Source organism: Homo sapiens, chromosome 7 (assembly GCF_000001405.40).
Source record: "Homo sapiens chromosome 7, GRCh38.p14 Primary Assembly".
Classification (NCBI taxonomy): Eukaryota; Metazoa; Chordata; class Mammalia; order Primates; family Hominidae; genus Homo; species Homo sapiens.
In genome coordinates this window covers 72,783,120-72,809,750 of record NC_000007.14, presented here as the reverse complement: position 1 = coordinate 72,809,750, position 26,631 = coordinate 72,783,120, and the positions used below count along the sequence as shown (strand labels likewise).

The 26,631-nt window shown below is 44.5% G+C and overlaps 1 protein-coding gene across 4 annotated transcripts in view; it reads left to right on the top strand.

The window, feature by feature from the left end:
• Positions 1-26,631, top strand: part of TYW1B (tRNA-yW synthesizing protein 1 homolog B) — a 253,688-nt gene that overhangs the window by 18,450 nt on the left and 208,607 nt on the right. For 3 of the 4 annotated variants that reach the window (NM_001412180.1, NM_001412179.1, NM_001145440.3), the window contains exons 5-6: positions 2,395-2,685; positions 7,229-7,351. In NM_001412180.1, coding sequence (NP_001399109.1) covers positions 2,395-2,685; positions 7,229-7,351 — 414 coding nt within the window. Of the gene's footprint in view, positions 1-2,394; positions 4,595-7,228; positions 7,352-26,631 lie in introns of those variants that run through there. The other variant, NM_001412181.1, reaches the window with a different exon arrangement.

Genomic DNA, 26,631 nt, shown 5'->3' with positions numbered 1-26,631 from the left:
TGGGATTACAGGTGTGAGCCATCATGCCCAGCCTGCCCAAGCTCTTTATGCAGGTGAACTCTTAAAAAAAATTTTTTTTTAATTATGTTTATTTTTTTCAGAACAGGGTCTTGCTTTGTCATCCAGGCTGGAATGCAGTGACCTGATCAGCATTCTCTGAACCTTGAAGTCCTAGGCTGAAGGGATCCTCCCAAGTCAGCCTCCCTAGTAGCTGGAACTATAGGCGTGCACCACTACCCCTGGCTAATCTTTCAATTTTTTTAGAGATGAGGGTCTCACTGTGTTGCCCAGGCTTGGTTCAAACTCCTGGCCTCAAGCAGTCCTACCCACCTCAGCCTCCCAAATTTCTGGGATTACAGGCATGAATGTGTCCAGCCTGAGCTCAGTTTTAAAAAATGAATTTTTCGGCTGGGCCTGGTGGCTCAAACGCCTGTAATCCCAGCACTTTGGGAGGCCGAGGCAGGCGGATCACGAGGTCAGGAGATCGAGATCATCGTGGCTAACATGGTGAAACCCTGTCTCTACTAAAAATACAAAAAAATTAGCTAGGTGTGGTGACGGGCGCCTGTAGTCCCAGCTACTCGGGAGGCTGAGGCAGGAGAATGGCGTGAACTTGGGAGGCGGAGATTGCAGTGAGCCGAGATCTCACCACTGCACTCTAGCCTGGGCGACAGAGTGAGACTCCATCTCAAAAAAAAAAAAAAAAAAATCATGAATTTTTCAAGGGAAATGGAGGAAAAAATTAACTTGGCTCCTTTTTCATCCTGTTCTCTACACTTGAAAAAATGAAACGATGGAGCCTCTCAGTTTCTTGGTCATTTGCATTGTGTACCTCTTCCTAGGGATGGGCCCTGCCTAGCTGTCTGTCTCTGGTGGAGTGTGAGTGACGGTGGAGGTGGGGAATTTTCTTTAAAAGCTGTTTACGGCCGGGTGCAGTGGCACAAGCCTGTAATGCCAGCACTTTGGGAGGCAGAGGCGGGCGGATCACCTGAGGTCGGGAGTTCGACCCCAGCCTGACCAACATGGAGAAACCCTGTCTGTACTAAAAATACAAAATTAGCCGGGCATGGTGGCGCATGCCTGTAGTCCCAACTACTTGGGAGGCTGAGGCAGGAGAATCACTTGAACCCGGGAGGTAGAGGTTGCAGTGAGCCGAGGTCGTGCCATTGCACTCCAGCCTGGGTAACAAGAGTGAAACTCCGTCTCAAAAAAAAAAAAAAAGTAAAATAAAATAAAAGCTGTTTTCATTCTATTGTTGTGTAGATTTTGCTCCATATTTTCATTAAAAACATTTTTGATTATGTGTTTTTTGAGACAGGGTCTCACCGTGTTGCCTAGGTTGGAGTTCAGTGGCTTGCTGCAGCCTCGACCTCCCTGGGCTCAGGTGATCCTCCCACCTTAGCCTACTGAGTAGCTGGGACCACAGGCGCCCACCACACATCCAGCTAGTTTTTGTATTTTTTGTAGAGATGGGGTTTTACTTTGGTGCCCAGGCTGGTGTTGAACTTGGGCTTGAGCATTCTTCTCACTCCGGTCTCCCAAGGTGCTGGAATTATAGGCGTGAGCCACTGCATCTGGCCTCTCCCCATATTTTCAAATAAATTAGACTATGAATGGGAAAATTCAGATATGTAAATTTTTTTTTTTTTTTTTTGAGACAGAGTCACTCTCTTGCCCAGGCTGGAGTGCAATGGCACAATCTCGGCTCATTGCAACTTCTGCCTCCAGGGTTCAAGGAATTCTCTTGAACTCCTGGCCTCAAACAATCTGCCTGCCTCAGCCTCCCAAAGTGCTGGGATTACAGACGTGAGACACTTCGCCTGGCGTAGATATGTAAATATTTTGTTTAATGCCTTGCCACTCAGGAAGCTTATTAAGTTTTTGAACTCTTAACTATGCCTCTGATAACCCCTGTTCCTCAGCTTAATTGCTTCATATCACAGTGAAATAAATTACTGAGTTTAGGAAATTACGAATCTTGCCAAATTGATTATATTTTCATTTTATAACGGAATAGGCTTAGGCCCCATAGGCTTTGTTACATTTTTGGAACTCATTTATTTTGTTAACTCCTGTTTTGTTCTTATCATGATATAGAATGGTAGGTTTCAAATTTTTTTTTAGTCATTAACCCTTCATTTGATAAAGGGGGTTTGTTTGTCCTTTTGTTTAAAACAATAAATCTAAGGCAGAAAAGTAGAATACATAAAATGACCCTCTTCTGGGTCAAGGCTGGAGCTTGAAGGCTTGAAGGTCATTTTGCCAGCAATTTCCTCTTTCTTAGTGGTAGCCCATGACCAGGGGCCCCAGAAGGACTTTGGGCTTTTGCAGAGCAGTCTGGAAAACCCTGATTTAGAGAACCGTGCTTTTAGCCTATCTATCTTTTCCTCGCAGGTTGGCAAAAATGTTGACAAGTGGCTCTGGATGCTTGGCGTGCATCGTGTGATGAGTCGAGGGGAGGGCGACTGCGACGTGGTTAAAAGCAAGCACGGCAGCATTGAGGCCAACTTCAGAGCATGGAAGACCAAGTTCATCTCCCAGCTGCAGGCACTTCAGAAAGGGGAGAGAAAGAAGTCCTGTGGCGGCCACTGCAAGAAAGGCAAATGTGAATCTCACCAACATGGCTCAGAGGAGAGGGAGGAAGGATCTCAAGAGCAGGACGAATTGCATCACAGAGACACCAAGGTATACCGCCTGTGTGTTCATCTCTTGATGCTTTCCCCCTCTGCTTGGAGATCTCGAGCTTGAGCTCTTCCTCAATAAACCATCTCGTTGGCTTCTGGTTAGAAGGAAGATCTGGCTGAGTGCAGTGGCTCGCACTTGTAATCCCCACACTTTGGGAGGCCAAGGTGGGGGTATTGCTTGAGTCCAGGAGTTCAAGACCAGCCTGGGCAACATAGCAATACCCTATCTTTACCACAATAATTTTAAATTTAGCAAGGCATGGTGGTGCATGCCTGTTGTCTCAGCTACGTAGGAGGTGGAGTTGGGAGGATTGCTTGAGCCCAGGAATTTGAGACTGCAGTGAGCTGTGATCATGCCACTGCCCTCCAGCCTGGGCAGCAGAGTGAGACCCTGCCCCAAAAACAAAGACAGAAAAAATAACAAAAAAAGAAGGAAGATGTGAAACTCATGTGGTGGTGTTTCAGAGAGAGAGAGAGGCCTTAGGAATTAAGCCATATCGTGCTAGATGCTTTCCAGAATCTCTTCTTTAGGCCGGGCACGGTGGCTCACGCTTGTAATCCCAGCACTTTTGGGAGGCCAAGGTGGGTGGATCACTTGAAGTCAAGAGTTCGAGACCATGCTGGCCAACATGGCGAAACCCCACCTCTACTAAAAATACAAAGATTAGCCAGGTGTGGTGGCGGGCACCTGTAATCCCAGCTACTCGGGAGGCTGAGGCATGAGAATCGCTTGAACCCGGGAGGTGGAGGTCACAGTGATCTGAGATCACGCGACTGCACTCCAGCCTGGGTGACAGAGTGAGACTCAGTCTCAAAAAAAAAAAAAAAACCCACACACACACAACCAAAACGTCTTCTTTAATCCTTGCATTGTTAGAGTCAAGTAGATTTTTACCACATTTTGCAAGTTGCGAAACGGAGCCACAGAGAAGTTAAATTTGTCCCAGCCTGAGCTCACGTCTCATTATCCTGAGATCACACATACCTCCTGACTTCAATGACTCCATTAGTCACTCAAACTGAAGGCTGCAAGTCATCCTAGATTCCGCTTTTTCCCTCACATTCTGAGCATTTCTCTTGCTTCCTTCTTTAAATACCCCAATTCCTTTGAAGCTCCTGTCTTCAGGCTGTAACACTCCTGTCATCTTCACAGCTGTTATCTTTTGGCCACCTGGTCAGTTGCATAATTCAGCAGCAACTTTACATTCTGACTCATTGTTTCTCTCTCCATCCCTGTTCCTATCATTATTCTTTGGGGCTGTGGCATCCTTGCGGATGATCTGTCTAGCACCCTGGCCTGCAGTTTCTTGGCCTTCACACCTCCAGCAACCATTTCTCCACTGACCTTGGTCTCTCCCTTACATAGGCACATCTGAAATTCAAGTTCCTCTCATGCTTACTATGACCTCATTCTGTGGCCTCTACTTTAACAACACTCCTTTTTTTTTTTTTTGAGAAAGGGTCTCATTCTGTCACCCCCAGTCAGAGTACAACGGTATGATCATGGCTCACTGCAGCCTCAACCTCCCCAGGCAGTGGTGATCCTCCCACTTCAGCCTCCCAAGTAGCTGGGATTATAGGCATGTGCCACCATGCCTAGCTAATTTGTCTATTTTTTGCAGAGATGGAGTTTCACCATGTTGCCCAGGCTGGTTTTGAACACTTGGGCTCAAGTGATCCACTGGCCCGGCCTCCCAAAATGCTGGGATCATAGGCATGAGCAACTGTGCCTGGCCTTTAAAATTCTTTTGATCTGGCCGGGCGTGGTGGCTCACGCCTGTAATCCCAGCACTTTGGGAGGCTGAGGCGGGTAGATCATTCAGGCAGCCACCCGTGGATTTGGAGCCCACTGCATGGCTCCTTTTCGTATTCCTAAACCCTTTCATTAAAGCATTGCCCCTTTTGATGTAGTATCTGTGTGTCTCTTACTGGATTGGCATCTTTGTGAGGACCAGAGGAATGTGTCGAATTAATTTTCAAGCAGTACTGGCTACCATGAGTATATGCAGTGTTCAAGATAACTTTTGAAGTTTCCCAAGGTCGCAGAACCAAGTTAGCAGTTTTGATTTGATTTGATGTGAAGACGAAATAGGTTCCTTTTGGAAAAAGTAAATTCTCAACATGAGTCTTTCCATTAGAAACTTGAGTCTAAGGAGAAGTTATCAAGGAGAGTCTAGGACAGGGATCAGCAAACAGGCTCACTGGCCAGATCCAGCTTATTGCCTGTTTTTTTTGAGACGGGCTAGTCTGTCCCCCAGGCTGGAGTGCAGTAGTGCATAGCTCACTGCAGCCTCTAACTCCTGGGCTCAAGTGATCCTCCTATCTCAGCCTCCTGAGTAGCTGGGCCTACAGGCATGCACCATCATGCCCAGCTAAGTTTTTTAAATTTTTTGTAGAGATGAGGTCCCACTGTGTTGCCCAGGCTGATCTCAAACTCCTGAGCTCAAGTGATCCTCCTGCCTTGGCCTCCCAAAGTGTTGGGATTATAAGTGTGAGCCACTGCACCCAGCTTGTTTTTTAATTTTTTAAAATAAAAGTTTTGGGAGCATGGCCATGCTCATTCATTTATGTATTGTCATAGCTGTCCGTGATAATCCTATCATCTGGCGCAGGACAGGCATGACCTCGCCTAAGAGGGGCTGTTTTATTTTGTATTGAACACTTGATCAGCAGCATCTGATTATATGACATCTCTCTGCTATACTGTGGGGCATATTGGCCAGCATATGGTTATTGACACTTTGTTTGTTTTAATTTAATTTTTTTCTTTTTTTTTTTTTTTGAGATGGAGTCTTGCTCTGTTGCCAAGGCTGGAGTGCAGGGTCACGATCTCAGCTCACTGCAACCTCCACCTCCTGGGTTCAAGCAATTCTCCTGTCTCAGCCTTTGGAGTAGCTGGGACTACAGGCGCACGCCACCACGCCCGGTTAATTTTTGTATTTTTAGTAGAGACAGAGTTTCACCATGTTGATCAGGCTGGTCTCAAACTCTTGACCTCAGGTGATCCATCTGCCTCGGCCTCCCAAAGTGCTGGGATTACAGGAGTGAGCCACTGTGTCCAGCCTGTTTCTTTTAAAGTGACCCTTGAGTTACTGAGAAAGTACCTGCTGTTGAAAACAAACAACTACTTCACCTCTTAAAAATCTCTTTATCAGCTGGGCACGGTGGCTCACATTTGTAACCCCAGCAATTTGGGAGGCTGAGGCGGGCGGATCACCTGAGGTCAGGAGTCTGAGACCAGCCTGGCTGACATGGTGAAACCCTCTCTCTACTAAAAATACAAAAATTAGCCGGGTGTGATGGTGCATGCCTGTAGTCCCAGCTACTCTGGAGGCTGAGGCATGAGAATTGCTTGAACCAAGGAGGTGGAGGTTGCAGTGAGCCAAGATCACGCCACTGCACTCCAGCCTGGGTGACAGAACGAGACTCAACAACAACAAAGAACAAACAAAAAAATCTCTCTAACGTTTGATTCTGCCTTATCCTTCATTGGAGAAAGGGATGAAGGCTGCCACGTATTAGCCGTGATTTCTTAACTTCTCTACCTTTAATTTCCTCATCTATGAGATGATGTTGAACCTGTCTACATCATAAGTAGTTAAGGATGAAATGAATGGGTATATGAACATTGTGTTGGGGTACGTAGTAGATACTCAGCAAATGTGTCTTCCCAGTGATGTCACATTTCCTCTACTTCTGCTTGGCATGTGTCTCGTTCCCCTGAGCCCAGCTCATGTCACTGTGACGTGAGAGGGCAGGTGAAGTGTTAGTTGTTCCCACTCCGTCATGCCCTTTCACAGTTGTTAGTCTGATGCTAAAGACTTAAGATTTATTTCTTCATTGTTGTTGTTGTTTTTGTAGAGATGAGGGTTTCACTATGTTGCCCAGGCTGGTCTTGAACTCCTGGCTTCAAGTGACACTCCTGCGTCAGCCTCCTAAGTAGTTGGGATTATAGGCATGTGCTACCACATCTGGCTAATTGTATACATTTTTTGTAGCAATGTGGTCTTGCTATGTTCCCCAGGCTGGTTTCAAACTCCTGAGGTTTCAAAGTCCTCCCATCTTGGCTTCACAAAGTGCTGGGATTATGGGTGTGAGCCACCATGCCCAGCCTAGATTTTATTTTTAAAGTAAGAATTTATAGACAGCCGAGCGCTGTTGTTGACGCCTGTAATCTCAGCACTTTGGGAGGCTGAGGTGGGTGGATTACCTGAGGTCAGGGGTTCGAGACCAGCCTGGCCAACATGGTGAAACCCTGTCTCTACTAAAACTACAAAAATTAGCCAGGCGTGGTGGTAGGCGCCTGTGATCCTAGCTACTTGGGAGGCTGAGGCAGGAGAATCGCTTGAACCTGAGAGGTGGAGGTTGCAGTGAGCCGAGATGACGCCACTGCGCTCCAGCCTGGGCGACAGAGCGAGACCCTGTCTCAAAGAAAAAAAAAAAAGAATTTAGAGACATAGTGAATTCTCAGTGTGGGAGGGAGGGTGAGAGAACTTTGCCTTTGCCCCTTTGAACAATGTATTTCTGAAGCATTTCTCTTCCAGGAGGAAGAACCCTTCGAGAGCTCCAGTGAAGAAGAGTTTGGTGGTGAGGACCATCAGAGCCTAAATTCCATTGTTGATGTTGAAGATTTGGGCAAAATTATGGATCACGTGAAGAAAGAAAAGGTACCATTACTTTGGGAAATGTTGCACTTGGCTCCCGCAGTTGGTTAACATTTAGTATTTCTTTATTACTGTGTAGTCCATCTGAGCTCACAGAGGAGTTTCATTTCTCTAGCTTCTGTCTTGAGAGTTTTATAATTTTTTTGCCATTTTTCATGAGCGTGGTGAGCATCTCCCCTCTCAGGCCTGTGAAAGTCAGCTCATCAGAGGATAAGCAGGAGATTTGAGAACAAGGACTGAGGACATTGTAGATCGGGGGTGTCCAATCTTTTGGCTTTCGTGGGCCACATTGGTAGAAAAAATGTCTTGGGCCGCACATAAAATACACTAATGATAGCTGATGAGCTAAAAAAAAAAAAAATCGCAAAATACATCTCATAATGTTTTAAGAAAGCTTATAAATTTGTGTTGGGCCAGTGGGCTGTGGGTTGGACAAGCTTGTTGTAGATGGTTAGAAAGATTTTATTCAGGGCTATTTGAAGATGAACAGCATGATAGGATTTATTATGGTTGAGATTCCAAGTGAAACTCCAGTGTAAATTTGCTTCTCTGCTGTATAGACTAAGTGGTGTTGGGGCTTAAGGATGGCAGCCTGGTCTGTGGGTGTGGAGATCAGCATGAGTGGGGCCCCTAGGAATCCAGGAAATACCAATCTGGGATGTGACTGTTTCAGTGACTAGATGAATGTGAGAATGTACGATGCAGTAGGATTTCATGCAGATTCCAGTGATCTAAAATTGAAGTAATATTGTACATACTATACTATAAAAATAACAGCCTCAATTTAACTGTGAGTTTTGGAAAATGAGACTCCCCTAAATTAAAATTATATGTAGTCCATAAGCCTTAAAAAAAAAAAGCTACTAGAAAATCCAAGAAAATCAATGCTAAAACCTATACAAATTCAAATGAACTCAGTAAGGTTAGCAGGATATCACAATGTAGAAAGTCAATAGACTTTATATTTCCAAACAATAACCAGTTAGAAGCTATAGTAAAAGAGAACACCTCATTTAGACTAGCTACATAAAGGATCAATAATTACCTACCGATTAATTTATTTTTTATTTTTTTGAAATGGAGTCTCATTCTGTCACCCAGGCTGGAGCGCAGTGGTGGGATCTCGGCTCACTGCAACCTCTGCCTCCTGGGTTCAAGTGATTCTCCTGCCTCAGCCTCCCGAGTAGCCGGGACTACAGGTGCACACCACCACGCTGAGCTAATTTTTGTATTTTTAGTAGAGACGGGATTTCACCATGTTGGCCAGGCTGGTCTCGAACTCCTGACCTCAGGTGATCTGCCCGCCTTGGCCTCCTGTGGTGCTGGGATTACACACATGAGTTACCACACCTGGCCTACCTACAGATTAATTTAAAAAGAAATGTCTTAAACCTACGTTGGAAAACTTTAAAACATTCCTGAATGATATCAAAGTGGACTCGAACAAATGGAAAGACATTCCTTGTTTTAGGTAGAGTGACTCAATGGTAAACATATCAGTTCTCTTAATATATAAGTTTGATGGAATCCCAATAAAAATTCTAGTAGGTCCTCTAGCCTCCTAGATCTAGATTGATCTAGTCATGTGGAAAAAATAAACATGGAATAATAGTTATGAAAACCCTGGTGAAAGTAGTGATGAGAAGGATGAGCCGCCACACCCAGCCAGGTCTGCCTTTTTTTTTTTTTTTTTTTGACTTTTCGAGTCTTGCTCTGTCAAGACTCCCACATATTGAAACATACCACAAGGTATCTCTAATTAAAACTGTAGTACTGGCTCATGATGAGACAAAGACCCTTGCAACAGAATAAAATTCTAAGAATATGTAGGAATTTCATATATATTAAAAGTGGACTCTGAAGACCTGGAGTTTAAAAGGGACTCTAAAAATAAATTATGTTGGCTGAGTGCGGTGGCTCACCCTGTAATCCCAGCACTTTGGGAGGCTGACGTGATGGGAGGATTTCTTGAGGCCAGAAGTTTGGGACCAGGCTCAGCAACATAGTGAAACCCCATCTCTACAAGAAATAAAAAAATTTAGCTAGATGTAGTGGCATGTGCCCGTAGTCACAACTGCTTGGGAGGCTGAGGTGGAAGGATTGCTTGGACCTGGGAGTTTGAGGCTGCAGTGAGCTGTGATCATGTCACGGCACCCCGGCCTGCATGACATTGGGAGACCTTGTTTCAAAAAAAAAAAAAAAGATGTGAAACATCTGTTAGCTTGTATATATGTCAGAATAATTTCCAAATGGATGAGCGAGCTAAATGCTGAATGTTGAAAAAATTATATAGATAGTAGAATCAGATGGATTATTGTATAACCTGGAGAAAGCTTTTCTATATGATTCAAAATCTAGAAGCAATAAAAAATATTAAATTTATGAATGATTTTAAAGTGTTTTACATGGCCATAGTAGAATCAGATGGATTATTGTATAACCTGGAGAAAGCTTTTCTGTATGATTCAAAATCTAGAAGCAATGAAAAAATATTAAATTTATGAATGACTTTAAAGTGTTTTATATGGCCATAAGGAAAATCAAAAGGCAAAACAGGAGGAACTATTTGCCCCTTATATCTCAGACAAGGTGTTAATCTTTTTACTATACAATGAACTCTTTTAAAAAAAAGGCAGACCTGCAGGTGCGGTGGCTCATGCCTGTAATCCCAGCACTTTGGGAGGTCGAGGCAGGCAGATCACGAGGTCAGGTGATCGAGATCATCCTGGCTAACACGGTGAAACCCCGTCTCTACTAAAAATACAAAAAATTAGCCAGGTGTGGTGGTGGGCGTCTGTAGTCCCAGCTACTTGGGAGGCTGAGGCAAGAGAATGGCGTGAACCTGGGAGGCAGAGCTTGTAGTGAGCCGAGATCGCGCCACTGCACTCCAGCCTGGGTGACAGAGCGAGACTCCGTCTCAAAAGAAAAAAAGGCAGACCTGACTGGATGTGGTGACTCATGCTTGTAATCCCAGCACTTTGGGAGGCCGAGGTGGGTGCATCGCTTGAGGTCAGGAGCTCGAGACCAGCCTGGCCAACATGGTGAAACCCCATCTCTACTAAAAAATACAAAAAAAATTAGCCGGGCATAGTGGCGCAAACCTGTAGTCCCAGCTACTTGGGAGGCTGAGGCACGAGAATCTTTTGAACCCTGGCGGCAGAGGTTGCAGTCAGCCGAGATCATGCCGCTGCATTCAAGCCTGGGCAACAGAGCAAGACTCTGTCTCAAAAAAAAAAAAAAAAAAAAAAAAAGGCAGACCCGGTCAGTTGCCGTGGCTCATGCCTGTAATCCCAACCCTTTGAGAGGCCAAGGCAGGTGGATCACTTGAGGTCAGGAGTTCGAGACCAGCCTGACCAACATGGTGAAACCCCATCTTTTCTGAAAATGCAAAATTAGCTGGGTGTGGTGGTGCATGCCTGTAATTCCAGCTGACCAAAAACCTAGTAGAAAAAGTTGGCAAAACACATGAATAAGAATTTCTCACAAATGGCTCTACAGAGAGATTTAAACATGAAAAGATGCTTAACTTTACTCATAATAAGAGAAATACAAATGAAAACTACACTGATAAACATTTCTCACCTTTCAGAATATAATAACAAAACTCCAAAGCTGGATGACATACTCAGTTAGGCGAGGCTCTGAGTAAACAGGCACTCATACCTTGCAGGTGGGAGTCCAGGATGGTCTAGCCTGTATGGAAGGGCTTTTGACAGTTTTTACCAAAATCACATATGCATTTATCCATGATCCAGCAGGCCCAGTTGTATGAATTTGCCTTAAAGATACAGCTTCATTAATGCAAAACAGCATTTCCACAGGCTTATGCATTGCAGCATACATAGCAAACAACTCTGTCGAATACTGGTTGAAAAAAGCATGGTATATCCACACAATGGAATATTGTTGTGTGGCTCTGAATAATACTATGGTGGATTGATATGCATTAATGTGATTTCCAAGTGGTGTTGGATTTTATTTGGAGGCTGATATCGACTTATTTTTTTTTTTTGAGACGGAGTCTTGCTCTGTCGCCCAGGCTGGAGTGCAGTGGCGCGATCTCGGCTCACTGCAAGCTCTGCCTCCTGGGTTCACGCCGTTCTCCTGCCTCAGCCTCCCGAGTAGCTGGGACTACAGGCGCCTGCCACTGCACCCAGCTAATTTTTTGTATTTTTGGTAGAGACGGGGTTTCACCGTGGTCTCGATCTCCTGACCTCGTGATCTGCCCGCCTCGGCCTCCCAAAGTACTGGGATTACAGGCATGAGCCACCGCGCCCGGCCGGCTGAGACGGACTTAAGATTTAAAAAAATGTGCGTTTATATTTGCAAACTTAGTTTAAATATGCATGTATATATGTGTGTGCGTGTGTGTGTGTGTGTGTGTGTGTGTGTATATATATAAATAGTATTTTCTAGCTGGGTTCACTGAAAGACTTTGCATGTTCTGACATCGATCTGTGGCACCAAATGGGTATCCTGTAGTTCAATTCAATTCTGATATGTCCTACCCAGAGTTAGTGTCTGACTGGACATGTTTAGGGCAGAGTCCTATAGAAGACTGCCCTGACTTCAGATACCTGCTGGAAGTCTCACGGCTACCTACTTTTCTGCCGGAATGACTCACAGAACTCCCTGAAAGCACTATAGTTAAGATTGCAGGTTTGTTTTTTGTTTTTTGATGTTTTTGAGACAGGGTCTCACTCCTTCATCCAGACTGAAGTGCAGTGGTGTGATCACAGCTCACTGCAACCTTGAACTCCTGGGCTCAAGGGATCCTCCCATCTTGGCCTCCTGAGTAGCTGGGACTATGGACATACACCACCATGCAAAGGTCATTTTAAATTTCTTTCTAGAGACAAGGTCTCACCATGTTGCCCAGGCTGATCTAGGTTGCAGTTTTATTATAAAGGCCACAGATCAGAAACGGTCAAATGGAAGAGATACTCTGGGGAGTGGGCATGAGGGAGAGACACAGAGCTTCTGTGTCCTGTCCTCTTGGAATCCAGGCACATCAGTGTGTTCCTCAACCAGGAAGCCCCACTGAGCTTCAGTGTCCAGGGTTTTTATTGGTATCCCATCATGCAAGCACTATTGGGTTAAATCATTGGGCAGTTGATTAAGCTCAATCTCCAGTATACTTCTTTTCCTCAAAGGTCAGGCTGGCCCTAAATTCTAATCCTCTAATCACATGGTTTCTTTCTGGTGATCAGCTTTCATCCTGAATCTATTACTTAGGAAATGCCAAGGTTTTTTGAAGCTGTGTACCAAGAACCAGGGTCAAAGACCAGATATATATGGCTGGGTGTGGTGGCTCATGCCTGTAATCCCAGCACTTTGGGAGGCTGAGGCAGGCGGATCACCTGAAGTCAGGAGTTCGAGACCAGCCTAACCAACACGATGAAACCCCATCTCTATTAAAAAAAATACAAAAATTAGCTGGGCATAGTGGTACGTGCCTGTAATCCCAGCTACTCAGGAGGCTGAGGCGGGAGAATCGCTTGACCCAGGAGGTGGAGGTTGCAGTGAGCCGAGATTGCACCATTGTACCATGACTGGCCCAGATATATTCTTTATTGTGCCGCAGACCCAGAAATAATCAATGTACTAAGCACTCAGATCTTGTTTTTCTGAATAGCATTCCTTATGATAAAGGGCTGGTTTCAGGACTGGTGAAAGAAGGGTAACAGATGAGCCCTGGGACATCTTACTGAACAAGTGGGGCCTCAGAGACTTATGGACACCTGCCAAAAAGACGTAGGAACCAACTCGAAGGGTTTCTTACAGGCCAAACTTGGAACAATTTGAGCTTCAAAAAGATTAATGAACGTAATAGATTATATTACATCAAATTAAAAAAAAAATTAGTTGGCCTGGCGCGGTGGCTCATGCCTGTAATCCCAGCACTTTGGGAGACCGAGGTGGGTGGATCACCTGAGGTCAGGAGTTCAAGACCAACCTGGCCAACATGGTGAAACCCTGTCTCGACTAAAAATTAGCTGGGCGTGGTGGCGCATACCTGTAATCCCAGCTACTCGGGAGGCTGAGGCAGGAGAATCACTTGAACCCGGGAGGCGGAGCTTGCAGTGAGCTGAGATTGCGCCATTGCACTCCAGCCTAGGCGACAGAGCGAGACTCCATCTCAAAAAAAAAAAAAAAAATCAGTCTGTGTGCGGCTCAAACAGGAGGCGTGTTGTGTAGGAGAAGGCTTCTAGATACTAACTATGTAAGGCATGAGAGAATTAGAAAATCAGCTGTTTGCAATTCCTAGTGTAATAATTGATTTAAGCAAGGATTCAGCCGGGTATGGTGGCTCACGCCTGTAATCCCAGTACTTTGGGAGGCCGAGGTGGGCGGATCACCTGTGGTCGGGAGTTCGAGACCAGTCTGGCCAACATAGTGAAACCCCGTCTCTACTAAAAATACAAAAATTAGCCAGGCGTGTTGGCACACACCTGTAGTCCCAGCTACTGGGGAGGCTGAGGCAGGAGAGTCACTTGAACCTGGAAGGCGGAGGTTGCAGTGAGCTGAGATTGCACCATTGCACTCCACCCTGGGCAACAGAGCAAGATTCCTTCTCAAAAACAAAACAAAACAAAACAAATTGGTTTAAGCAAGGATTGTGTGAAATGTCTTTGGGGAATAGATACTCAGTGTCTCAAAATATCATCCCACAAACTAAACCAACTAGAAATGAGGAATGAGTGGGGAAAACCCCCCACATATTAGTTTCTAATTACAGAGGGAACAATGTGCCTTTACAAATGGAGAGATCAGGTGATTCCCACCTACACCAACCAACCAAATTTAGCATCATCATTTCTACTAAAATGTGACCCATGTTCCTGCTGATAAGATGTATAGCAAGACACATACACATCATCTCTGTAGTTTCGCGTCAAAAAATGTTTAGCTTGAATCTCATCATGGGGAAACAATGAGACAAATCCAGTATTTGCCACAAGCCTTTTAGACTTTGTAAATGTCAATATCATAAACAATAACAACAAAAAAACATGGTGAGGCGATAACCATTCTAGGATTAAAAGAGACGATGAGAAAATCCAAAAGCATTTTGTAAATTTTAGTCTTGGATCAAAGAGAAAAGACCATTGTCTGGACATTTTGGGAAATTTGCAGTGGATTTTTTTGTTTTATTTTTATTTTATTTTTTTTGGAGACAGGGTCTCACTCTGTCACCCAGCCTATTTGTTAGCTGCTGTTTTGGATCTCCGTAGGGTTTGGGAGCAGCTGGGGGGAGGCAGGACAGATAAACAGAAGTAGGAGGCCGGGCATGCTGAATTGCACATGTAATCCCAGCACTTTGGGAGGCCGAGATGGATGGATCACTTAAACTCAGGGGTTTGAGACCAGCCTGGGCAACATGGCAAAACCCTGTCTCTACCAAAAATACAAAAACAAAAATTAGCCAGGTGTGATGGCGCCTGTAATCCCAGCTACTGGGAGGCTGAGGTAGGAGAATCGCTTGAGCCTGGGATTCAGAGGTTGCAGTGAGCCGAGATCGTGTCACTGCACTCTAGTCTGGGCGACGGGAGTTAGACCCTGTCTCAAAAAAAAAAAAAAAGAAAAGTGGGGAAGTTGTTACTTGATCACTGCTGTCATAGAGGTCTTTGTGCTCACTCTCCTAGTCATGTGTTTTGAGTTGACTCTCTTTCCAGGGAATGTTTTCATGGCTTCTTTGGAGATATCTTCCATGACCATCTCCCTGGCAAGTCCCTTGCGCTGAGCAAAATGTACTCTGAGAAGCTGAGAAGTGTACTTTGTCTTTCTTTTTCCTTCTTTTTTGAGCCCATTTTCCGGCAGCAGAGAAGTATACCTTTTTTTTTTTTGAGACAGAATCTCGCTGTCTCATCCAGGCTGGGGTGCAGTGGCACAATCTCAGCTCACTGCAACCTCTGCCTCCCAGGTTCAAGCGATTCTCCTGTGTAAGCCTCCTGAGTAGCTGCGATTACAGGTGCGTACCACCACGCCCGGCTAATTTTTGTAATTTTAGTAGAGATGGGGTTTCACCATGTTGGCCAGGCTGGTCTTGAACTCCTTACCTCAGGCGATCCTCCTGCCTGAGCCTCCCAAAGTGTTGGGATTCCAGGCGTGAGCCACTGCACCTGGCCAAGAAGTATACTGATGGCTGCTTAGTTCCTCCTCTGTGCCCTGTCCCTCTGGCTTCTCTTTTGAAGTCTGTCACCTGCTCTCTGCTCTACTTGACCAATGGGTCAAGATCTGAGATCTCCCTTGCCCCCATCCTGCTGTCAGGGGAACACGCCTGAGTTCTTTATTTGGAGGGGACAGGCCAATTCCTACCTAGCAGCAGTGCTCACTTGCTAATGCAAGTAGCTGATCCGTTTGCTTCTGAATTTCCTAGGCAGCAGCCGTACGTCAATCTGTAATCCTCTGAGGGCGGGGGATACAGCGCAACTTCTTTGAGAGGCTGGATTGGCAGTTTTCTTGTGGGGCTAGAGGTAAGAGGCTGACAGCTCCCTCTAGCCTCTCTCTTTTTGAGGGAGTGGAGAGAACTTAAAGTACCTTACCAACATTCTCTAGAGAAGTCTTCAAAAACCCTCTCTCATTACCTCCATGCTCTCTACTCTTTCATCTCTGTGATCTGCGGGAGCATTTTTTTTTTTTTTTTTGAGACGGAGTCTCGTTCTGTCGCCAAGGCTGGAGTGCAGTGGTGTGATCTTGGCTCAATACGACCTCCGTCTCTGGGATTCAAGCAATTCTCTGCCTCAGCCTCCCGAGTAGCTGGGATTACAGGCGCCTGCAACCATGCCTGGCTAATTTTTGTATGTTTAGTAGAGATTTAGTAGAGACGGGGTTTCACCATCTTGGCCAGGCTGGTCTTGAACTCCTGACCTTGTGATCTGCCCACCTCGGCCTCCCAAAGTGCTGGGATTACAGGCGTGAGCCACCGTTCCCGGCCAGGGGAGCCATTTTTAATGTTGTAAAACTGTTTCTCAGATATTTCTTCGAAAATTTTTAACTTGATCTGATCCTCTCTTTGTAGTTTCATTTAATTAATTAATTTATTTTTATTTTTTATTTTTTTTTGAGATGGAGTCTTGCTCTGTTGCCCAGGCTGGAGTGCAGTGATGCGATCTCAGCTCACTGCAACCTCCTCCTTCTGGGTTCAAGCAATTCTCCTGCCTCAGCCTCCCGAGTAGCTGGGATTACAGATGTGTGCCACCACACCTGGCTATTGTATTTTTTTAGTATAGACGGGGTTTTGCCATGTTGGCTGGGCTGATGTCAAATTCCTGGCCTCAAGATATCCACCTGCCTTGGCCTCCCAAAGTGCTGGGATTACAGTTGAGAGCCACCGTGCCTGGCCTCCTTTAATTTAAAACCCTGTTGACATGTGTTTTAAAATTTCACAGACAGCAGTCCTCTGTTCCTGTTTTTCCTGGATCCGCTTTTCATAGTAACCACAGTTTTCAGTTTGACAATATTCTTGCAGGTATTTTATTGCCTTTTATAAACACATTTGTTTTGGTATAATTTTGTTTTTTGGCTACACAAATGGGATCATTTTGTACTCCTGGTCTACAGACTGCTTTTCTTTCGCTTTAACATGACAACTTTCTGGTCCTGTCATATTAGATGAATTCAATGTAAGGTTCATTTTAAGGTAGTTCATAATGATGTCCCACAATTTATTTGGCTCTTGTTCATTAACATTCAGGTGTTTTCTCATTTTGGTAATGGATACTCTTGCTCATATTTTTTGTGGCTGATATAAACTTATCTGAAGAATAAATTCCTAAAATTGAAATTCCGGCATCTAAGGGAGTTTGTAGTTTTGATATTTCCAAATCGCCTTGTAAAAGTTGCAAAAAGTTTCCCTTCTGTTTCCATTGTAGAAGAGAAATGAGAGTACTTGTTCTCTACATCTGAGATGTTACCAATCTTTCAAATCTTGTCAATCTGAAAAACAGTAGCTTTGTGTTAATTTGCATTTTTAAAATTTTGAGTGAGATTGGATGCATTTTGTGTTTATTGTTCATTTGCATTTTTTCTTTCTTTTTTCTTTTCCTGTGAAACATTTCTTTCTTTTTTTTTTTGAGATGGAGTCTTGCTCTGTTGCCCAGGCTGGAGTGTAGTAGTGTGATCTCGGCCCACTGCAACTTCCGCCTCCCAGTTTCAAGTGATTCTCCTGCCTCATCCTCCCGAGTAGCTGGGATTACAGGTGCATGCCACCATGCGCAACTAGTTTGTATTTTTTGTAGAGATGGGGTTTCACCATGTTGGCCAGGTTGATCTCAAACTCCTGGCCTCAAATGATCACCCGCCTCGGTCTCCCAAAGTGTTGGGATTACAAGCGTGAGCCACTGCGCCTGGCCTGAATCATTTCTTTCTGTCTGCCTGAAATTAGACAAACTGCAAGGTTTGAGACCACAGTCTCCAAGACTGCTCCCATTTTTGACACCAGCTACAGATTTGTTGCGGTCCTTAGACCATCCTCAGGTTGATAATTTGCTAGAAAAACGCACAGAGCTCCCTGAAAGCTTTTATACTCAAGGGTATAGAGGAAAGGATACAGAAAATCAGCTAAGGGAAGACATGCACAAGGCAATGCCTGGGAAGTTCCATTGTTCTTTTTGTTTGTTTGTTTAAGACGGAGTCTTTCTCTGTTGCCCAGGCCAGAGTGCAGTGGCGCCATCTCGCTCACTGCAACCTCCACCTTCCAGGTTCAAGCGATTCTCCTGCTTTAGCCTCCCGAGTAGCTGGGACTACAGGTGCATGCCACCATGCCCAGCTAATTTTTTGTGTTTTTAGTAGAGACGAGGTTTCACCATGTTAGCCAGGATGGTCCCGATTTCCTGATCTTATGATCCGCCCACCTTGGCCTCCCAAAGTGCTGGGATTACAGGCGTGAGCCACTGTGCCCGTCCTGTTCTATTGTTCTTAAGTCCAAGGCTCCCATTGTCCTCAGGTCAGAATAGTTTTGATATTTCCTTTTTTTTTTTTTTTTTTGAGGTTTAGCATCAGTCTTTAATGCTGTCGCGCTGCATTGACAACTCACACACTTTGGTGTCATGTTGGCAGTGGCAACTTATAATGAGTCTAAAGGTCTGAGCGCCAGACTGGGCTCCAGGGAATAGACATTTGTTCCAACTCCCCCTCCCTCCCCAAGGTTTCTTCGGAATCCTATTATGGCCCTATACAGAGAAGAGCGGCTGCTGGGGACTGGTATTATGTGAGTGCATACCAATTATACATGGGATTATAAAAACATGTTTACAGACGTTCCATAGCGCTCCTCTAATCAGAAGCAAAGACCCTTTTATCAAAAGAGATTATATCTAGGGCTGTGCAAAATTCAAAAGGATCAGATCCCTTTGAAACAGTCCATAGTCCATGAAACAAAAATCACCTGGGCCACTGGTAAGCCCCAGGTATGCCAAGATTCTTTACAGAAATGGAAAGAGTGTGACCCATAAAGTGAGGACATTCAGCTTCACTAGAGCCAGAGGTCAGGAGGGCCCCTTGCTGGGGCCGGGCTCCCAGACCCTCAAGGGAGAGGTGACCGCACTTGCTGGAGTCACTCACTGGAGGCTGGCTCCCTTGGTCGTGCTGGAACAAGAGGTATTGCTTGTGGGTGCCAGCCAGGCAGTTCTGCAGGAATAGTTTAGGATTTCAATTTGAGATGGCCAAAGAGAAGACAGGATTCTTCAGGGGAAAAGGAAGACATGAGAGACAAATAGAGAATAAACCATGAACTGGTCACACAACAGAAGTTGAGTTGTGTACAGGGTCTGGCAGCCAAGGCAGCAGGTTGACATCATTTACCAGCCAGAAGCAAAGAGACTACAGAGGGATCAAGTGCAGCTGCTGGGCAGGGACTGGAGGAGGAGGGTGTGGGCCCATCCTGGGAGGGCTGCCAGACCCAGTGGGGCAGACCAGCAGCTGGTGACAGACGTCAGCCACTGTGCCTGGCCCAGTTTTTATTGAGCTATCATTAGCTAGGCATGATTGATTAATTGATTGCCTCTGTGGTAGGGCTCAGTCTTGAGCACCCCCTCTTCCTCCTGAATTTTGGGCTGATACCACATTGCCCTATGGGTCCGCCATGAGACACCTAATTAGCATAAAACATCAGATGTAGTCTGAAGGGCTCACCATGAGTAACAAAGATACTCCTGGCCGGGCACAGTGGCTCACACCTGTCATCCCAGCATTTTGGGAGGCCGAGGCAGGTGGATCACCTGAGGTCAGGAGACCAGCCTGACCACCATGGTGAAACCCCGTTTCTACTAAATAAAAAAAAAAAAATTAGCCAGGCGTGGTGGTGCATGCCTGTAATCCCAGCTACTTGGGAGACTAAGGCAGGAGAATCCCTTGAACCCAGAAGGTGGAGGTTGCAGTGAGCCAAGATTGCACCATTGCACTCCAGCCTGGGCAACAAGAGTGAAACTCTGTCTCAAAAAAAAAAAAAAAAAAAAAAAAAGATAATCCTATCACTTGAGAATGTTCAAGGATTTAGAGGTTAATTTTCCAGGAGCTGGGGACAAAGGCTAGACATCTTATTCTTTATTGTACACTGTGTTTCATCTATTTTTATATTGGATTATTTGGTTTCTTTTGTAAAGCTTATCATAAAAAAAAATTCCAGGCTGGGTGTGGTGGCTCTGCCTGTAATCCCAGCACTTTGGGAGCCTGAGGTGGGAGGACTGCTTGAGCCCGGGAATTTGAGACCAGCCTCGGCAACATAGCAACACTCTGTCTCTATTAATAAAAAAAATTAAAAAAATACTGTGATGAATATAATACTCTAACTATAACATTATAGTTATTTTCTAAATTTAAAATTAGCATCTTTCTCTTGTTTTAGCATTTTGTTACTTACTTCCTAATACATGTCATGTGTCCTTAATCCAAAAGTCTGAAATCCAAAATGCTTCAAAATATGAAACTTTTTGAGTCCTGATATGACATTCAAAGGAAATACTCGGGCCGGGCTTGGTGGCTCATGCCTATCATCCCAGTAGTTTGGGAGGCCGAGGCGGGCAGATCACCTGAGGTCAGGAGTTCGAGACCAGCCTGGCTAACATGGTGAAACCCTGTCTCTACTAAAAAAATATAAAAATTAGCCTGGCGTGGTGGCACATGCATGTAGTCCCAACTACTCAGGAGGCTGAGACAGGAGAATCGCTTGAACTCGGGAGGCGGAGGTTGCAGTGAGCCTAGATTACGCCACTGCACTCCAGCCTGGGTGACAGAGTGAGACTGTCTCAAAATAAATTCACGTCTGCACCAGGCCGGGCTTGGTGGCTCATTCCTGTAATCTCAGCACTTTGGGAGGCTGAGGTGGGTGGATCTCTTGACCCCTGGAGTTTGAGACCAGCCTGGGCAACATAGTGAGACCCTTGTCTCTACAAAACATAAAAAGTTAGCTGGGCGTGGTAGCTGGTACCTGTGGTCCCAGCTACTTGGGAGGCTGAGGTGGGAGGATTGTTTGAGCCTGGGAGGTCAAGGCTGCAGTGAGCTATGATCACAGCACTGCACTCCAGCCTGGACAACAGAGTAAAACCTTGTCTCAAAAATACAAACATGTGGCCGGGCATGATGGCTCACACCTGTAATCCCAGCACTTTGGGAGGCTGAGGCAGGCAGATCACCTGAGGTCAGGAGTTTGAAACCAACCTGGCCAACATGGCGAAACCCCGTCTCTACTAAAAATACAAAAATTAGCCGGGTATGGTGGCGCATGCCTGTAGTCCCAGCCACTTGGGAGGTTGAGACAGGAGAATCGCTTGAACCCCGGAAGCGGAGGTTGCAGTGAGCCAAGATTGTGCCACTGCACTCCAGCCTGGGCAACACAGCAAGACTCCCATCTCAAAAACAAAACAAAACAAACAAAACAAAGGAAATACTCATTGGAGCAGTTCAGATTTTGGCTTCGAAGATTTGGGATGCTCAACTGGTAAGCATAATGCAAGTATTTGAAAATCTAAAAAAAATTCTGAAATCTGAAAAACTTCTGATCCCCTAAGCATTTCAGCTAAAGCTACTCAACTTGTACTTCCATGTGGCCATGTGGTCTTTGTCATTTTTAGTAGCTTTTGTATTTTGAAGCCCGGGAAGAGGAGCTATTAAGAATGACAAGGAGGCCGGGTGCAGTGGCTCACTCCTGTAATCCCAATCCTTTGGGAGGCTGAGATGGGCAGATCATGAGGTCAGGAGATCGAGACCATCCTGGCTAACACAATGAAACCCCATCTCTACTAAAAAATACAAAAATATTAGCCAGGTGTGGTGGCAGGCGCCTATAGTCCCAGCTACTCGGGAGCCTGAGGCAGAAGAATGGCGTGAACCCAGGAGGTGGAGCTTGCAGTGAGCCGAGATCGTGCCACTGCACTCCAGCCTGGGCGACAGTGTGAGACTCCATCTCAAAAAGAAAAAAAGAATGACAAGTAGATGGAATATGGGTACAAGGTCTGGTCCAGCGAGATTATAACTTGGTGATCTAAATGTACAGTTTAACCTTCCCTAGCTTTAATCTCCTTTCCTGAGGAACATAGAGTTGTTGTATATGAAAGTGCTTTATAATCTTGAAAAGCCGGACAGACATTGAAATGAGCATTTTATTATTTTTTAATTACTTTTTCTTTTTTTTGGAGATGGAGTCTCACTCTGTCATCAGGCTGGGGTGCAGTGGCACGATCTTGGCTCACTGCAGCCTCTACCTCCCTCTTTCAAGTGATTGTTCTGCCTCAGCCTCCCGAGTAGCTGGGACTGCAGGTACGCGCCACCACGACCAGCTAAGTTTTGTATTTTTAGTATAGACAGGGTTTCACCGTGTTGGCCAGGATGGTCTTGATCCATTGACCTTGTGATCCACTGACCTTGTGATCCACCTGCCTTGGCCTCCCAAAGTCCTGGGATTACAAACGTGAGCCACCATGCCTCGCCTATTTTTTTTTTGAGATGGAGTCTCACTGTGTCGCCCAGGCTGGAGTGCAGTGGTGCAATCTTGGCTCACTGCAACCTCTGCCTCCTGGGTTCAAGCAGTTCTCCCATCCCAGCCTCCCGAGTAGCTAGGATTACAGGCATGTGCTACCATGCCTGCCTAATTTTTGTATTTTTTGTAGAGACGGGGTTTTTACCATGTTGGCCAGGGTGATTTTGAACTCCTGATCTCAAGTGATCCACCCACCTTGGCCTCCCAAAGTGCTAGGATAGCCACCGGGCCTGGTCTTGCTTAGACATTTTAAATTTGCTTATACATTTTCTTAGAGTTGGTCATTTGATGTGCTTTCAAGTTTTCTGCTCTTATAATTAACACTGGTCTGAGACCTTTCTTACTTTTGAAAAATGTATGAATGTTTTCCTACATTTACACATTCCCCATATTGATATACTGGGTCAACGTGAATGTGTAATGTTATGACTCTTAATTAAAAATCTGAGTAATTTTCATTGGTGAAATTGTCTGAAAATGATGCATGTGATAGCTGATTGAGAGATTTTTGTATTTTCTACCAGGTTAAGCTTTATTTAAAAGCTTTGTTTAGCAGGGCGCAGTGGCTCATGCCTGTAATCCCAGCACTTTGGGAAGCCTAGGCAGGTGGATCGCTTGAGCTCAGGAGTTCGAGACCAGCCTGGGCAATATGACGAAACCCTGTCTCTACAAAAAATACAAAAATTAGCTTGGCGTGATGGTGCGTGCCTATAATCCCAGCTGCTAGGAGGCTAAGGTGGGAGGATTGCTTGACCCCGGGAGACGGAGGTTGTAGTGAGCCGAGATCACGCCACTGCACTCCAGCCTGGGTGACAGAGCGAGACCCTATCTCAAAAAAAAAAAAAAAAAAAAGAAAAAAGAATTTAAAAACTTTGTTTATAGTGGGTGAAGAGTTTGGGATAATTTGTGGGTATGTATTTTTCTTTGCTTTTTCATCTTATGGCCATTAGAGGGCACTGGAGAAAACACTAATGAAGATTTCAGACATCCATGTACATTATTTTTTTGAAATGAAATGATTTTGGGCTTTATGAGCTTTAAGCAGCTGGTTTATGATATTTCAGCTTTCTCATAAAAATCTCTCATAAAATCATCAGATCTTTGGGAAAGATACCTATTTTTTCCCAATTTTAGTATGACACAAAAATAAGCTACCAGTTTTCGTTTTTCATGATTGTTAGGTTACAGCAGAGTGTTCAAATAGATCTTGTTTTCAATTTCTAGGGGATATGGGATACTAAACTTGGCAATGAAGGTTTTTACTGTTTGGCTTTTCTTTTTCTTTTTCTGGCATTTTGTTTTTTCTTCTCTTTTTTTTTTAGACAGTCTTGCTGTGTCGCCCAGGCTGGAGTGCAGTGGCACAATATCATCTCATGGCAGCCCCCGCCTCCCGGGTTCATGCAATTCTGCCTCAGCCTCCCGAGTAGGTGGGATTATAGCGCCCGCCACCACGCCCGGCTAATTTTTGTATTTTTAGTAGAGACAGCGCCTCGCCATGTTGGCCAGGCTGGTCTTGAACTCCTGACCTCAGGTGATCCACCTGCCTCAGCCTCCCGAAGTGCTGGGATTACAGGTGCGAGCCACTAAGCCTGGCTTTTTCTGGCATTTTCTTTGGGGCTGGCTCACACATTCCCTGAGTGCTTTCCGCATGATCATCCATGACACACCACATGAAATTGCCTTAGTTGTTACTGTCGAGGGAAGTAGTATGTGCCAGTGCTTAAGAGTTGGGCCGAAGCACTGTCATTGTAAGACTGGTTTTTGAGTAATATTCACTAACTTTCATGGAGTCATACATCTCAGCTTGTGTATCTGGACAAATTATTTTACCCCTCTGTGCTTCTGTTTTCTCATTTGGAATGTGAGAGATAACGGTATCTGCCTTATAAAGTTCTTATGTAGATTAAAGAAGTTAATCCAGCCACACTGTATTTTCTTGTATAGTAGTTAATATATTTTTTATAAAATAATAGTATATTCTAATTCTAATTATATTAGAATTAATTATATAATTATATTAGAATTATATAATTAGAATTAGAATATAACTTTAATTTAATATAATTATATATTAATATATATAATTAGAATTAGAATATATATTAACTATTCCAATATAATTAGAATTAGAATATATTAACTATAATAATTAATAATTAACTTATATAAGAATATGTCTTCAAATAGGATAGATTTGGTCCTACCAAAACACCACCTTGGTATTCTACCTCCCTCTCTCTGTAGTACTATCTAAGACTTCTTCTAGGACTGAAGATAATTTGAAGTATGAGAGTGGTTTCTAAGAACTAGAGCACTAAAGTTTGAAACACTGGAATGTTAGGGAGACAGATGGAGATATGGGGGGAGTGGGGTGTTAGGGGTGGCATGTTTGGGGAACCCTAAACAGTTTGGTGTGCCTAGAGTTGACTGGGGGGTAGGGATATTTGGAGCTGTGACATAGAGAAGGAAGATGGGGTAGGATCCTAGAGGCTTCTCAAGTCCTGCAGTGGAGGGGGCTGAGCTTTCTCCTGAAGGCAGTGGGAGGCAATGTGATTTGATTGAATTGGAGAATGGGTTAGGGGGTGTGGGGAGAGAGGAGAGTTCCAGTGTAGGTTTAAAATATTAGGAGGCCGGGCGCAGTGGCTTATGCCTGTAATCCCAGTGCTTTGGGAGGCTGAGGCTGGTGGATCACCTGAGGTCTGGAGTTCAAGATCAGCCTGGCAAACATGGTGAAACCTTATTTCTACTAAAAATACAAAAGTTAGCGGGATGTGGTGGCACATGCCTGTAATCCCAGCTACTCGGGAGACTGAGGCAGGAGAATCGCTTGAGCCTGAGAGATGGAGGTTTCAGTGAGCCGAGATTGCGCCTCTGTACTCCAGCCTAGGCAACAGCCTGAGACAACCCTGTCTCAAAGAATAAAGGAAAAAAGGAGAAATCAAAATACATAACTAGATTATCTCACTCAATCCTCACAGTGACCTTGAGATGATCAAACTATTATCATCTGCAATTTACCATTTAACAGATAGCAACTGAGGCTTAGTTTAAGCAATTTGTCCATCATCAGATGGCTGGTAAGTTGACAGCCTCAAGCCTGGACTCCATCTGTCTGTGTCACTCCTCTTGGCTGCTTCCCCAGGGAGGAGTGGTTCTCAGAAGCTGTAGTGTTTAGAGAACCATGAGTCAGGAGGAGCCTGATAATTTTTATATTGTTTATTTTCTCTTTCTCTTATGTTGTGATTTGTAAATGTAAAGCCTATTGCTACTTTTTTTTTTTTCTGCAGTAAATAAATGTTGCTAAATACTCCCCACAGCAATGTTCTGGCTAAGCAGACAAAGACTAACATCAGCATCATTAATTTTGGAAATAAATGGCAAATGCTTGACAGTTACTCACTGGAGAAACATTTCCATTTGCCAGCTATTTAAATTGCAGAAGGATCTCAGTATGTCCAGTTCTGATTATAAAGTTCTGTTGGTATTGCAGTGGAATAACAGGAAGCTAGTTTCAGAATTATTTTTAAGGCTTTGGAGTGTTTACTTCACCTAGAAACAAGAGGTGATATCCTTTCAACCCCAATACGCTGCCCTTAAACCATCTTGACTCACCATGGTCTCTGTAGCTAGGAGCACTTAACAATGAGTCCCCATGTTGTCTTCTTAAGGTAGGTTATCCAAAATAGAATTACTGTGTCAGAGTAAAGCTCTTGACGTGCTTGGGCACGCTGCTTTTCCACCAGTTCAAAAGGCATTTTTAGAACTCAGTATATACAAAAGCTTTGAGTAATGGTGAAAATTGGTCATTTTAAAACTGAACGGTGACCAGTGAGTGATATCTTAGAGATTCATTTATTAAAGAAATAGGAATCTAAATGTGGGGTTAAATTGCAGCAAAAGTTATTAAATATTAATAATTTACTTAATTTTTTTACCGTGACTCCTTTTCAGTGATATGATTTTTATTAGTTTAGATTAATATTAAAATTCTACTTCATGTATAATTAAACATGAATAAAAGTTTCTTTTTTTTTTTTTTTTTGAGATGAAGTCTTGCTTTGTTGCCCAGGTGTGATCTTGGCTCATTGCAACCTCCGCCTGCTAGGTTCAAGTGATTCTTCTGCCTCAGCCTCCTGAATAGCTGGGACCACAAGCGCATGCCACCACGCCCGGCTAATTTTTGTATTTTCAGAAGAGATGGGTTTCATCATGTTGGCCAGGCTGTTCTCGAACTCCTGACCTCAAGTGATCTGCCCGCCTCAGCCTCCCAAAGTGCTGGGATTACAGGCGTGAGCCACCACGTCCG